At 43.9% G+C, this 14841-nt stretch overlaps 1 protein-coding gene across 3 annotated transcripts in view; it reads left to right on the top strand.

Annotated features, from left to right (window-relative positions):
• Positions 1–14841, top strand: part of TRPM1 (transient receptor potential cation channel subfamily M member 1) — a 160096-nt gene that overhangs the window by 105654 nt on the left and 39601 nt on the right. For all 3 annotated transcript variants that reach the window (NM_001252020.2, NM_002420.6, NM_001252024.2), the window contains 6 exons: positions 4925–5098; positions 5998–6132; positions 7568–7618; positions 8256–8396; positions 9274–9303; positions 13264–13556. In NM_001252020.2, coding sequence (NP_001238949.1) covers positions 4925–5098; positions 5998–6132; positions 7568–7618; positions 8256–8396; positions 9274–9303; positions 13264–13556 — 824 coding nt within the window. The remainder of the gene's footprint in view (positions 1–4924; positions 5099–5997; positions 6133–7567; positions 7619–8255; positions 8397–9273; positions 9304–13263; positions 13557–14841) is intronic.

Here is a 14841-nt window from a genome sequence, read left to right as displayed (position 1 = left end):
ATGCCTTCTGCCCACCACATGCCCTCTTCTTTGTATCTTGGAAAATCTGGTCTCACCTCAAGAGCAACCTCCACATTACACATTTTGGGCTTTGGCTTCCTCTCCATAGTTTTAACTGGTCCTTCAATGCTTCCAGAAATTTGTTAAAAACTCTCTGGCCCGCCTCTTCTCCCTGAAATAGATTTTTCTTTTTCATACTCCTCTGCTGTCATTTAAATAGTATCTGGGGAGGGAGGGAAGACAGGAAACACATGCTCAGGCTGTAACCTGGAGCCAAAAGTCCTTCTCTGTCTCCCTACAGTGGGATATAAGGTCTCCAAAATCTTCTTTTAATAGTTGAAGCACTCAAGAAAGGATGTGCCTGTGAATCTATAGTCTATCTAGAATTCTTCATATAGTAGAAAACTTGTGGTAGGGAGGACATAAGAATTCCAACACAGTAAATCAATCTTAGGTCTGATTTGCTATATATTACTAGACAAAATTCTTCTATCTATATTTTCTGTTATTGAATGCAAAAAATAAAAGCTGCATGAGAGTATGATGTGGTTATCAGAAGCTAGGATGTGAGGGATTGGGAGATTTTGGTTTAAAAGTACAAAGTCTCAGTTAAGAAGAATAAATTCTGGAGACCTATTGTACAACATAGTGACTATAATTAATAATAATGTATAGTGCACTTGAAAATTGCTAAAAGAGTAGATTTTAAATGTTCTCATCACAAAAATGATAAGTATGTGAGGTGATGGATATGTTAATTAGCTTCATCGTTCCACAATGTATACATATATTTAAGCATCATGTATACCATAAATATATACAATTTGTCATTTGCTAATTAAAATAATTAATTAAAGTAAAAGCTTTGCAAAAAAAATTCTTCTTAAAACATGCTTTTAAACATAACGAAGAGGCCAGGCACAGTGGCTCACTCCTGTAATTCCAGCACTTTGGAAGGCTGAGGCGGGTGGATCACCTGAGGTCAGGAGTTTGAGACAAGCCTGGCCAACATGGTGAAACCCCGTCTCTACTAAAAATACAAAAATTACCCGGGTGTGATGTTGCATGCCTGTAATCCCAGCTACTTAGGAGGCTGAGGCAGGAGAATTGCTTGAACCTGGGAGCCGGAGGTTGCAGTGAGCTGAGATCATGCCACTGCACTCCAGCCTGGGTGACAGAACAAAACTCCGTCTCAAAAAACAAACAAATAAACAAACAAACAAAAAACATAATGAAGAGAGAGAAAAAGAGAGACGTTTGATATATACAGGTAACAAAAGGCAATTTATTTATTTATATTGAATCATAAAAACTTTGGACTAACAATTTTTGAAGGAAAATCATCACCAACATTCATCTCAAGAGCTTTTTTATCTTGCAAAATGGACACTCTATGCCCATCAAACAATAATTCCCCATCCTGCCCTCTCCTGTGACTGGCAACCACCATTCTACTTTCTGTTGCCATGAATATGACTACTGTTAGTACCTCCTATAAGTGGAGTCATGTAATATTTGTCCTTTTGTGACTGGCTTATTTCACTCAGAACAATGTCTCAAGGTTCATCCGTGTTGTAGCATTTGTCAGAATTTCCTTCCTTTTAAGGCTGAATAATATTCCATTATATGGATAGACCACATTTTGCTTATCCAAGCATCCATCAGTGGACACTTGGGTTGCTCCCATGTTTTAGAATAATGCTGCTATGAATGTAGGTGTACAAATACTTCTTTGAGACTTGCTTTCAGTTCTTTTGGGTATGCCAAGAAGTGAAACCATTGATCACACGGTAATCCTATTTTTAATTTTTTGAAGAATCACCAAACTCCTCCCACAGCAGTTGCACCATTTTACATTTCCACCCACAGTGCACAGGGTTCCAGTTTGTCCTCATTTTCACAAACATTTGTCATTTTCTGTTGTTTAGATAATAGCCATCTTGGCTGGGCACAGTGGCTTACATGCCTGTAATCCCAGCACTTTGGGAGGCCAAGGCAGGTGGATCACCTGAGGTCAGGAATTGGAGACCAGCCTGGCCAACATGGCGAAACCCCGTCTCTACTAAAAATACAGAAAAAAAAAAAAAAATGAGCCGGGAGTGGTGGCACACATCTGTAGTCCCAGCTACTGAGGAGGCTGAGGTAGGAGAATCACTTGAACCTGGGAGGCGGAGGTTGCAGTGAGCCAACATCGTGCCACTGCACTCCAGCCTGGGCAACAAGAGCAAAACTCCATCTCAAATAAAAGGAAAAAAAAAGATAATAGCCATCTTAATGGGTGTGAGATAATATCTCAGATGGTTTTGATTTGTATTTCCCTAATGATTAGTGATATTGAGCGTTTTTGTGTGTGTTTATTGGCCATTTGTGTATCTGCTTTGTAGAAATGTCTATTCAAGTCTCTTGCCTATTTTTGAATCAGGTTGGGTTTTCTTGTTGTTGAATTTTAGGAGTTCTCTATATATTCTGGCTATGAACCCCTTATCATATACATGATGTACAAATATATTCTCCTATTCTGTGGCTACCTTTACTCTGTTAATGGTATTTTTTGCTGCACAAAACTTTTAAATTTTCATAAAGTCCATCGGATTTGTTATTAATAATTTTTCCGTTTGTGCCTGTGCCTTTGGTGTCATATTCAAGAATTGAATTCCCAAATCCAATATAGTGATATTTTTGCCCTATGTTTTCTTCTAAGCATTTTAGTTTAATTAATTAATTAGTTTTTGAGATTGAGTTTCACTCTTGTCACCCAGGCTGGAGTGCAACGGCACGATCTCAGCTCACTGCAACCTCTTCCTCCTGGGTTCAAGGAATTCTCCTGCCTCAGCCTCCTAAGTAGCTGGGATTACAGGCACCCACCACCATGTCCAGCTAATTATTGTATTTTTAGTAGAGATGGGATTTTACCATGTTGGCCAGGCTGGTCTCAAATTCCTGGCCTCAGGTGATCCATCTGCCTCGGCCTCCCAACGTGCTGGGATTACAGACGTGAACTACCGTGCCCAGCAGCATTTTATATTAGTAGTTTTCGATTTTATGTTCAGGTATTTGATTCATTTTGAGTTAATATTTGTATATGGTGTAAGGTAAGGGTCCAACTCCAGTCTTTTGCATGTGGATATCCAGTTTTCCCAGCACCATTTGTTGGATGCGGTGTCACTCTGTCACTCAGGACCATAACGGTTTTATCTGCATGAGGAGTCAGCCAAGACACTTTTTCATCCATATTTGTATGTTGACCAGGAACTATATAAATGCACACCTCCCCTGACATAAGCTCTGCCTCAGCCCTACTTAAGGGTTTTAAGCAGGAGAGTTACTTGCTTCCATTTTTATATTTAAAGGTCACTCTGGAGTTACTGTGGAAAATGCACTGGGTGGGTGCCATGGCAGGTGTGCAGAGTCCTATTAATAGGCCTTTGAAATAATTCAGGCCTTGGACTAGAGCAGAGGCAAAGAAGAAGGCAAGAATCAGAATTAAGCAAAATTTAGCATTAAACATGGCTGCACATAGGGGTAGATGAATCATTGAGGGCACTGGAGGGACTGAGATGTCACAATGCTCCCCAGTTCTCTGGTTTGCACAACTTGCAAGCTGTGGTAACATTTCCCTGAGATAAGGGACCCTGGAAGAGGACTGGGTCGGAGGGTAGGTCCTGAGAGTGGTTTGGGACATAAGGAGCTGCATGTCTTTGAGACATGCAAGCAGGATGCTGAGCAGGCAACAGGAGCTCTGGGGAGAGAGGTGGGCCGCAGCCAGAAAGGAGAAGTTGTATGCCAATCAGTGGTGACTGGTGGTGTGGGGGTCAATGAGGTCGTCAAGGAAGAGAGTAGAGTGGAAAGGTAGAAGGCTGAGGACAGAGCCCAGAGGAACCTTGACATTTAAAGCTGCACTGAGAAGTAGTGGCCAGACAGGGAAGAGGAAAGCTGGGAGCTTGTGATGCCCAAGAAGCCAAGGGAAGAGACTCTAGGAGGAAGCAGGCAGTGGAGTCAGATGTGCTGAGAACCCAGCATGAAATGCCCATGAGGCAGGCACCAGCACAGTTCTCAGCAACTAAACCCACAGCCCAGGACAGATGGAAGAAGCAGCAGGGTGCGTGCAGGAGAGATAGGAAGAGAGGAAATGGAGGCTCCTCAGGTAGGCAATCCACCAGGAGCGTTTGGTAAGAGGAGCGGGTGGGTCTGGCAAGAGAGGACGCCAGCTGGAGGGTCCGGTTGTTTAGGTGCTGGCTCTGTGTCTGCACCAGGACACACTCCCACATTCTCCACCAGACCAGGAGACAAGGCCACGGGGCCAGGCCTACTTCTGCTGTCCCTCCTGTTCTCTGGAGTAGAGCACACACTCCCCTTGATGAATGAGTCTGTCACCGCATTGCATGCATTTCAGTGACATGCGGAGAGCTTCTTTACCCGCCGATAAGCTCCAGTTTACGTTTACATCCAGGCAGGCATCCTCAGTTCTATCCATTGTCTTGTACCCCCTTCACAATCACTTTTTCCCATCATTAAACAACTATGGACACATGTCTTTGGTGCCTTTGAACTCTCCTTTCAGCATCCTTTCCTCCATGCAAAAGCACACATGGATCAAAATGTCAGCCACTTTAAGTATGCAAAGTCGCTGCATCAAGTCAAGTGTGTGTTTGTGCACACGAGTAACAGTGGTTCCCAGTATCAGAGCCTTCTTCAGACAGCCAGGCCTGCGACGACTGAGTATGTAGGTGTATGGGATGGAGTCCGTGTGCACCTGTACATATGTGTGGGCATATGTGTGCACTGTGTGGGTGTGCACATGTACATTGTGTGCATGTGTGGTGTGCATGTGTGCACATACAGAGGTGGGAGGGTCAATGAGCTGGTCTGGGGACAAGAAAGAGCCTTAGTACCATTTCCCAACTCTGATTGCTGTGGACTGCAGCCCCTGGGAAGCCTGGCACCCCCGACGGACAGCAAAGCCACGGAGAAGGAGAAGAAGCCACCCATGGCCACCACCAAGGGAGGAAGAGGAAAAGGGAAAGGCAAGAAGAAAGGGAAAGTGAAAGAGGAAGTGGAGGAAGAAACTGACCCCCGGAAGATAGAGCTGCTGAACTGGGTATGTGGAAGGTCACAGAGATCACGAGCTTGGCATCACCCTTCCCCAGGGGAAGGGATGGTTCTTGTCCTTGCTTCAGTCCCACCCAGGGCCCTGATCCCAGGAGGGACGGGTAAAGGCTTGACTGGGTAGTGTCAGCATTTCAAACTACAACAGCACATTCGCTGCAATGAGCCTGTCGGTTGTCCAAAACACCAAACGTTCCTGCTTTGGGGGGAATGATGCCACCCACAGAGGGGCCCTGAGTCATCCTGTTCAGCAATGGTTCTGTACCTGGCAGACATGCCAATGCTTGATGCATGAATATACAGCAGACAAATCAGTTGTCACCAAATAAATGCAATTCATGAAAAAGCCCTTTTTTGACAGACAGAGCCCATGATTGGGTGTGTGGGGTAACAGCAGTTTAGGTGGGGAGGCTGGAGCCACACATCGCATGGCAGTTCTTGGTCTTGCTGCCACCAGGACACAGGCAAGACAGGGGACCAGGCCTCTGTGGTGACGTGTGCCTGCCCTTATCACAGTCACTCACCCACACGGCACCCTGGTCATGCTGCCTGCCCATGCAGCTCCTCCTGGCACAACTTCTCAGTCAAGGAAACAAATGGTGGAGACTGGGCAGGCCAATGCCAGGAGGGCTGAGATTTTGAATCCTCTTCAATCTATTTTTAAAAGGAAACAATAATTTACAGACATGGATGGAACATGTAGAGGCCAAACTGAGAAGAAAGGAGAGGGGAGATGGGGAGTGTTTACCCAAGATAAAGAGCAAAGAGTACCATGCTGGAGTGCTCTGGAATCTGGCGTTCGGAATACCCTTTCCTCTGTGTTTCCAGTCGCCCCCCTCCCCTGTGTCTCTGAGAGGCCACTCACAGGCTCCCGGCCCTTGGTCCCTGCAGGTGAATGCTTTGGAGCAAGCGATGCTAGATGCTTTAGTCTTAGATCGTGTCGACTTTGTGAAGCTCCTGATTGAAAACGGAGTGAACATGCAACACTTTCTGACCATTCCGAGGCTGGAGGAGCTTTATAACACAGTGAGTGCTCTAGAAAAAGGGAAGGAAGCGGGAGGCAGCCACCTAAATGTGTTTGTCACTGGTGCATATTGTGCATAAATGTGCTCATCTGACCTCCTTCAGCTGGGAGGTCCGTACTTAATGGCAGGCGGCTACTTCTCACCTGCTGCTGGCCACAGCCTGTGTTCATATTCTCACCACCTCCTGCCATGCCTCGCCAGTCACTCCTTTCTCAGGCAGTATTAACTCTTGTCCCGCATTTAAGGGTGGTGTGTGAGTACTTGTTGCTACAAAGAGGGAATCTAGCTCCCCAAGCCATTAGCAGAGTGAAATGTCACCAAGGGTGAGAAGTCAATTGTTCCTTGGGACCCTCACATTTGATGAGGCTTTGGGGTAAAACATAGAGCTAAGTTTCACACCCAGGAGCTCTGCTGGAAGGGTTTGAATGAAATTCCCTTGGCTTATATTATTACAATATAAGTTTTGAGAATTTACATTTCCTTCCCTATTGTAAGATTTTAAGTAGCAGAAATGATCCTCAGCAGCTGCTTGCTAAAACTTGGTGAATTTTTTTTTGTTTGTTCTGAGACAGAGTCTCTCTTGTTGCCCAGGCTGGGGTGCAGTGACATGATCTCAGCTCACTGCAGCCTCAACCTCCTAGGCTCAAGCCATCCTCCGATCCCAGCCTCCTGAGTATCTGGGACTACAGGTGCACACCACCACACCCAGCTAATTTTTAAAAATTTTGTAGAGACAGGGTTTCGACATGTTGCCCAGGTTGGTCTCAAACTCCTAGCCTCAAGTGATCCACCTCCCTTGGCCTCCCAAAGTGCTGGGATAATAGGCTCAAATATACTAATTTGAGCCACTGATTCTGGCCAACTTGATGAATTATTAACACTATATTGTGCACCTTAAGATACTCTTTTAAAAAAATGCAACAGAAAGTATTTCACAACTTTTGAAATGTGTTGGATACTTTCTAACCATGACCAGCTCTGTTTTGTAAAAGAAAAAGGCTGGTGTGGGTTACACTCCAGCTCTCACAATTCATTAATTATATAGAGTAGGGCAGGATTTTGCTCGAAGAGTTCAAGAAAAAAACTTATTTATTTATTTATTTATTTATTCATTCTTAGACGAGGTCTCACTTTATCACCTAGGCTGGAGTATAGTGGTGCAATCTTAGCTCACTGCAGCTGCCTCCCCGGTTCAAGTGATCCTCCAACCTCAGCCTCCCTAGTAGCTAGGATTACAGGTGCCCACCACCACGCCCAGCTAATTTTTGTATTTTTAGTAGAGATGGGGTTTCACCATGTTGGCCAGGCTGGCCTCAAACTACTGACCTCAAGTGATCTGCCTGCCTTGGCCTCCCAAAGTGCTGGGACTACAGGCGTGAGCCACCGCGCCTGGCCAAGAAAAACATATTTAACACACATGAATGCTTCTCTTTCAGAGACTGGGTCCACCAAACACACTTCATCTGCTGGTGAGGGATGTGAAAAAGGTCAGTCTACTGTTTTACAATTCTTACCTGTTGGCATCTTTCACAAAATCATTTCTTAAGAGCAAGTTTTAAATTTTCAAAATGTATTATTATTCCAGGCACAGGAGATAATGAATTCCTTCTTTCGTAAAGAGTCTATTTAAAACTAAGAAAGCAAAGGATAATCTTTTTTAAGTTGCATGTTCATCCAAATCCATGATAGGGACACTGTCAGTGACAGCCGGATTATAGGTTGACGCCAGCGCCAGGCCAGGGCGGCCACTGGGTGGGGTTGGGGAAGGGGGTGGCCTGGCTGCTGACCTGAGCCCCGCTGTCTGTCCATGCAGCCTCTCGTTCTGTCCCTCCTTTGAGATCTCTCACCCACTGCCTGTGGCTCTTTCCAGAAGCACCGGCAGGAGGTTCCTCAAGTCATTCTGTGTCCTGTTGATTGCAGCTGCTGTTCTTGGCCCTTTCTGCCACCTTGTTATCAAGGGATAGATGCTTTCCCCAGCCTGAATATTGTTTAATCCCCCACCCACCCACCTGTTACATGAACTCCCAAGTGGGGGCCAGGACAGCCACTTACCCCCTAGACGTGTGATGAAGTCCACACTGCGAACGCATTCTCACAGGGCCTGAGACCAGACTTCTTTTACAGAGCAACCTTCCGCCTGATTACCACATCAGCCTCATAGACATCGGGCTCGTGCTGGAGTACCTCATGGGAGGAGCCTACCGCTGCAACTACACTCGGAAAAACTTTCGGACCCTTTACAACAACTTGTTTGGACCAAAGAGGGTAGAACTCAGTGCCTGTGTAGTGTTCTGTGGTTCGCGAGTACCATGTGGTTCCTCGCTTGCTTTTCAACAACTTGGCCGGTTCAGAGCCAAGCCCTTCGCCCTGTCCCCAGCACAGCTGTCCTGCCTCCTACAGTGCTCTCAGGCCAGAGCCACGGCATTCTCCAGCTCCCCTGAGCACGGGCCGCCCCGCCCATCCATTGCATTTGCCCTCCTTTTCTATCCACAGCAGACTTCCTCCTGGGCTCCGGGGCTACTGTCTGCCTGCTCCAGCCTATTCTACTATCCCACCACTGTACCTGCCATAATCTTCCAAAGCAAGGGACATGCCTGCATTCCCTGCTTCAAGCCTCCCAGAGCTCCTCACTGCCTGGAGAATCGTATCCAAACTCATTATCACAGCAGCCAAGGCCCTCCACCAGCTGGCCCTCACCCACATGGGAGACCACATACCTGCACCAAAATCAAATCCTGTGATCAAATCAAAGACGTGTACCTGCCACGTCTTTCCCCACTATCAGTGCCTTTCCCACCCTTATCAAAAGTCCAACTCAAATGTCTGATCTTTCATGATGCCCTCCTCTCACACCCACCTTACAGCCCCACAGCTCTCTACATGTCTATTAGGGAACTTCTCGGTTTCTACCTGGAATAAGGGCCACGCGTCTGCTGAGCTTTCTTCTCAATTAACTTCTGCTGACAGAAGAAGAGTTTCTATATTAAAGCACTTCTTTTCCTTGGATATTATCATTAATTGTTAATGATACAAAGTGCTTTTTAATCCATTCGTATGTCCACTATCAACAATACTGCTAATGTACTACTAACATTAGTTATCTAAGTAAATTGATTTTTTTTCTTCCTCTTTCACCATGCAGCCTAAAGCTCTTAAACTTCTGGGAATGGAAGTAAGTAGAACTTGTTTTCAACAGTTTTATAATATCCTGGTCAAATATACATAGCCCTTTTAAGTTCTGTATTTGCGAATATACGATACTACTCACCAAAATTTACCTAGATGTCTTAGTCAAATTATATAAAAGGACCATATATACATTTTCTTTAATGGGGATAAAAGCTGCACAATCCATTTCTAGAACTAACAAAACCACAGTTTCAAAAGCAAAGATTAAGCAAACAAAAAAACTAGAGAGGAACACCACTTACGTATGCAAAAACCATAAGTAAAAAACCAAAAATAACACCAAAAAGAATTCAATAGACTATTTTCATAGTCCTAAATCAAAGTAGAGTCCTCCAAGAATGCAAATACAATGCAGTGTTAGTCTTTAATATATTGCATCATATCTATGACCATCTCTCAGCAGGTGCTAATGAAGAATTTGAAACACATGTAAAACATATGCCTTACTTTGTTAAAAAATATATAGTTTTCTCAAAATAGAATGATAAAATACTTTCTTGGAATGATTAAAATACACGTATATCTTAGAGCAAGGGAAACGTATGATGAGCAGTGCATCCCTGAAGTCATGTCCATGAGAATCAAGAACAAGACAAGCATGCCCAATATCATTGGCGTCATCTACTGTTTTATAATTCTTACCTATTGGCATCTTTCACTAGTCCCCAAAAGTGTTCTGGAAATTGAACCACAAGGAAAAATAAATGCTAAAAAAAGAATACCCAAGAAAGGGAGAAATTATTATCAGCAAAAAAATTTGGGGGGAGTTAGAAAATCCAGGAAAATCAACTAAAGTTCCCTCACAATAGGACAAAAGTACCAGAAATTACCTTTACTAGCAACCGTAAGAACAATGTCCCAGACCTAAAAATATTTAAATGAATGGAAGAAATGCCATATTGTGGAATATTAGGATTGACTCTTGGAAACATTCTTTTTAAATAAATTTATGAGCTAAACAGCATCCCGATTCTTCATGGATTCAGTGTAGACGGCTTTCATTCTGTGTTGACAATTAAGACTGTCCTTTAACACGGTGCTCCTGGAAGGGTTATGAGCTTTCTGTGATCTCCTGTTCTCTCAAACTCTCCAGGTCAGGGTTTATTTATTCCATGAAGGTTTGGTGGACTCACCTGTAAAATTTCCGGGTCCAGTCCTATTTCTTAGAAGTGTGCATTTCATAATACTACTTCATAATAGCCATTATAAATATAAGTACATTTCAGGCTTTTTATTTTCTAGAGTCAACTTTGGTCATTTATAGTTTCCTAAAATGACTTATTTCATCTAGACTTTCAAGTTCCCTGGAATAAACTTTTACATAGTATTCTAGTTTTTTTCAGTCTCCTCAGTATCTTCAGTTGTGTCTCATTTCTTGTGCCAATTTTTTTTTTTTTTTTTTTTTTGAGTAGGAGTCTCACTCTGTCACCCAGGCTGGAGTGCAATGGTGCAATCTCGGCTCACTGCAACCTTAGCCTCCCAGGTTCAAGCAATTCTCCTGTCTCAGCCTCCCAAGTAGCTGGGACTGCAGGTGCATGCCACCATACCAGGCTAATTTTTGCATTTTTAGTAGAGATGGGGCTTCACCATATTGGTCAGGCTGGTCTCAAACTTCTGATCTCAGATTCTCAGGTGATCCACCCATCTTGGCCTCCCAAAGTGCTGGAATTACAGGCACGAGCCACCACGCCCAGCCTCTTGTGCCATTTTTAAACAAAATTTATATCTCCTATTTTCTTAAACTTTCTTTCCTACATATTTTACTGGTATTTTTGCTTTATCAAGCAACTTCCTTTTTCTGTTTCTATTTTATTAATGTCTGCTTTTATTTGTATTTGTTTCTTCCATATACTTTCCCTACTGTTATTGCATTGTTCGTGCTAACTCAGTTTGAAAGGAAAATTCACTCATTTTCCATCTTCACTGTATTCCTATAAATGCATTAAAGGTATAAATTGTTCTGAGCATTGTTTCATGGTATTCCACAGGTTTGGATAAGTAGAACCTTCATTGTCGTTTTTTCTAAGGCATTTATTATTTCCTTTTCAATCCAAGAGTTATTTAGAAGTGTATTTCAAATTTCCCAGATACAGACTTTTGTTGTTGTCATACTACTGTTATTGATTTCAAAGTTTATTCCTTGTATAGAAATATCCTGTAATTTTTTTTCAAATTCATTGCTAAGTAAGGTGTGTTACTTACTCAACTATGGTAATATGTCAATTTTTCCTTACACTCCCAGTTCAGATCCTTTGTTATTTTATTGGTTTTTTTCCCTTTTCCTCATTGATTTGTGACAGGCCTTTGCATTTTAGGAAAATTAACTCTTTGTTTCTCATATTCTCTCTCTGGCAGTTTTTAAAGAGAATTTACATGCAATTAATATTTTAATAATATTAGATGTTATTGAAAGGTAGGCTTAAAAGGACTTCTGTTTTATAACATTTCATTAGTCATTAGTTAATTTTTATTTTATCTTATATATTCTTGAAAATCTATGTTTATCTAAACATTTCTACGATGTTCATTTTTAACCTGTGTAGATGAACCTTTCCCATATCACTGCGACTGTAGCTTCACTGTGACAAAATTAGAAAATTAGAACAAAGATATTTAAATTGGAGTCAAGATACTATATTTTCCATTAAAATGTTATCACAGCTCATTATGATATTATAAAAATTGGGTCAGTCGTGGCCGGGCGTGGTGGCTCATGGCTACAATCCCAGCACTTTGGGAGGCCGAGGCGGGAGGACCACGAGGTCAGGAGATCGAGACCATCCTGGCTAACACGGTGAAACCCCGTCTCTACTAAACATACAAAAAATTAGCCGGGCGTGGTGGCGGGCACCTGTAGTCCCAGCTACTCCAGAGGTGAGGCAGGAGAATGGCATGAACCCGGGAGGCAGAGCTTGCAGTGAGCCGAGATGGTGCCACTGCACTCCAGCCTGGGCGACACAGTGAGACTCCGTCTCAAAAACAAAACAAAACAAAACAAATTGGGTCAGTAGTGAACAACCTGAGATAGGAATTGGAGAGCCAGGATACCTCCTATAACTCCCCATGCTCCAGACCACTCCAACTCTGTGAATGTGGCTGAGTTATTCAGACTGAGCCACAGCTTCCTAATCTGAGGGAATGGAAGGAATTCACAACCTCTCAGAGTCCTTGTAAGAATAAAAGAAGATAACTGATGGGAACGCTGTTTGCAAAAGAACAAACATCTGTTTCTGTTATTCCATTGAATACTAAAGTATTAGCCTGGAGTAGTCTGAGACCCACATATTTCATGCCAATTTTCCCAATCACGATCTGCCTTTCTTATGAATCCTGATCCATTCACAGAACAGTTCTCATAACCCCTTTAGGAAATGGGAAAGATTGGCCTTCCTTTTTGCACCATATGGGGAAAAGGACAGTGCTCACTAAAAGAGGAATGTTTGCTTTCTTAAAACACTGGAGGGAAACCTAAAACATTTTCTCTAGCCCCTTTTGCATGTTTCCTGTTAATTTCTGGTTCAGCTACGTCTGGCAAACGAGTGTTATTTTTGCTACATTTGAAGACCTCCCTGAGGAAATAAACTGTAGACCTTCCCTCTTCCATGATGTTATTTGTGTTTAGTTTTGGGGGAGGTTTTGCTTGTTTGTTTTAGTTTTGCAGCGTCGCCTCAGTTAAAGGCTTCTAAGTAAAACTGCTGACCCAGGGGTGCAAGTTATCCAAACAGTATGCCTTCTCAGTTCATTTGGTTTTAGATAGTTTACTTATCATAATAAACGTGTGCATCTTTTCAAAAGAATTCATATGCGGAGTGGAAATGTAAGATGTACTTCAGAAGTCTCTTTATTACCTCTGACAGAAAGGGTTCCCTTTCTCCAGGAGTTCTGGAACTCTTTGTTGCATACTTTTATGGCAAAACCATGAAATCCATGTTTCTCCCCTCAGGATGATGAGCCTCCAGCTAAAGGGAAGAAAAAGAAAAAGAAGAAAAAGGAGGAAGAGATCGACATTGATGTGGACGACCCTGCCGTGAGTCGGTTCCAGTATCCCTTCCACGAGCTGATGGTGTGGGCAGTGCTGATGAAACGCCAGAAAATGGCAGTGTTCCTCTGGCAGCGAGGGGAAGAGAGCATGGCCAAGGCCCTGGTGGCCTGCAAGCTCTACAAGGCCATGGCCCACGAGTCCTCCGAGAGTGATCTGGTGGATGACATCTCCCAGGACTTGGATAACAATTCCAAGTTAGTGTCTAGCGGGGATTTAAAGGCCAGGAGAGATGACCATCCTGAGTACTTGTCTCTGCAGGGAGGGGTGGCCAATGTACTTCTCACTTAAGGACAATGGTGGTTAAAGCTTGTTCACAAATCACTTCGTCTGTCATGTCAGCATTTTTCTTTCTGTCTCTCAGAGGTGTTTTTGGACTGTCGTTGTTTTTGTGTACTGCCTTCTCTTTGCATCAAAATTGAAACACAATTTTTTTCCTTTCCTTGAAACACAATTTTAATGCAAAGATGGTGAAATTAATTTCCATAGGGAAACACACACTAACAAGGAATACAACATTAATGAGCCTGTGCCCTGGACTGTGACCTGGACTGTGACCTTCACAGGTGTTTCTGATTTTGCTCCATGCTTAGGTGGGACAGGATGGCTAGAGGGGGCTGGAGTTGGGCGTGCTTCCCCTGGGTCAGTCAGGCTCTGATCAAACCAGCAGGTGAGGCTCTGGTAAAATTGGTTCTCCTGGCCGGGCACGGTGGCTCATGCCTGTAATCCCAGCACTTTGGGAGGCCGAGGTGGGCGGATCACAAGGTCAGGAGATCGAGACCATCCTGGCTAACATGGTGAAACCCCGTCTCTACTAAAATATATTTTAGCCCGGCGTAGTGGCGGGCGCCTGTAGTCCCAGCTACTCGGGAGGCTGAGGCAGGAGAAAGGCGTGGACCCAGGAAGTGGAGCTTGCAGTGAGCCGAGATTGCCCCACTGCACTCCAGCCTGGGTGATAGAGTGAGACTCCATCTCAAAAAAAAAAAAAGTTGAAGGAACTTGGAACGTTTATGGTTATTGCCAAATATTTGAATCTGGATCATGTGGGGAAGGCAGTAAACTTTATGCTCAAAATTCAGCTTGTGCCACCTTCTCCATGCCCCCCAACTTCTATCACTGTCCCCATCAGTCATTAGACGCCCTCTGGCCTGGGCCCTATGACAACTATGCCTCATCCCTGTCATAGCACTGAGAATGTTGGCTTCTCTGTAATCACTGTGATGGTGAAGTGTTACACGGGCAGAGAAAGGCATACATCCGAAATGTCCAGCTGGTGACAGTCCACAGGTGGGACATGCCGGCACCACCAGCACCCAGATCAACTAAGAACCTAGCCGGCACCCACCAGCCCTCCTGTGACTCCTTTCAGTGTCCACCTCCCGCCACCACCACCACCAGCAGCCCCGCTACTGTGGCCTCCAACTCCACAGGTGCTGCATTTGAAGTCACTTTTGCTGTCTTTTCTATCTGCCTCCCTGATCT

The sequence above is a fragment of the Homo sapiens genome, chromosome 15 (assembly GCF_000001405.40).
Source record: "Homo sapiens chromosome 15, GRCh38.p14 Primary Assembly".
Taxonomy (NCBI): Eukaryota; Metazoa; Chordata; class Mammalia; order Primates; family Hominidae; genus Homo; species Homo sapiens.
The sequence above is the reverse complement of the archived record's forward strand: the minus strand, read 5'-3'. Positions and strand labels throughout refer to the sequence as shown.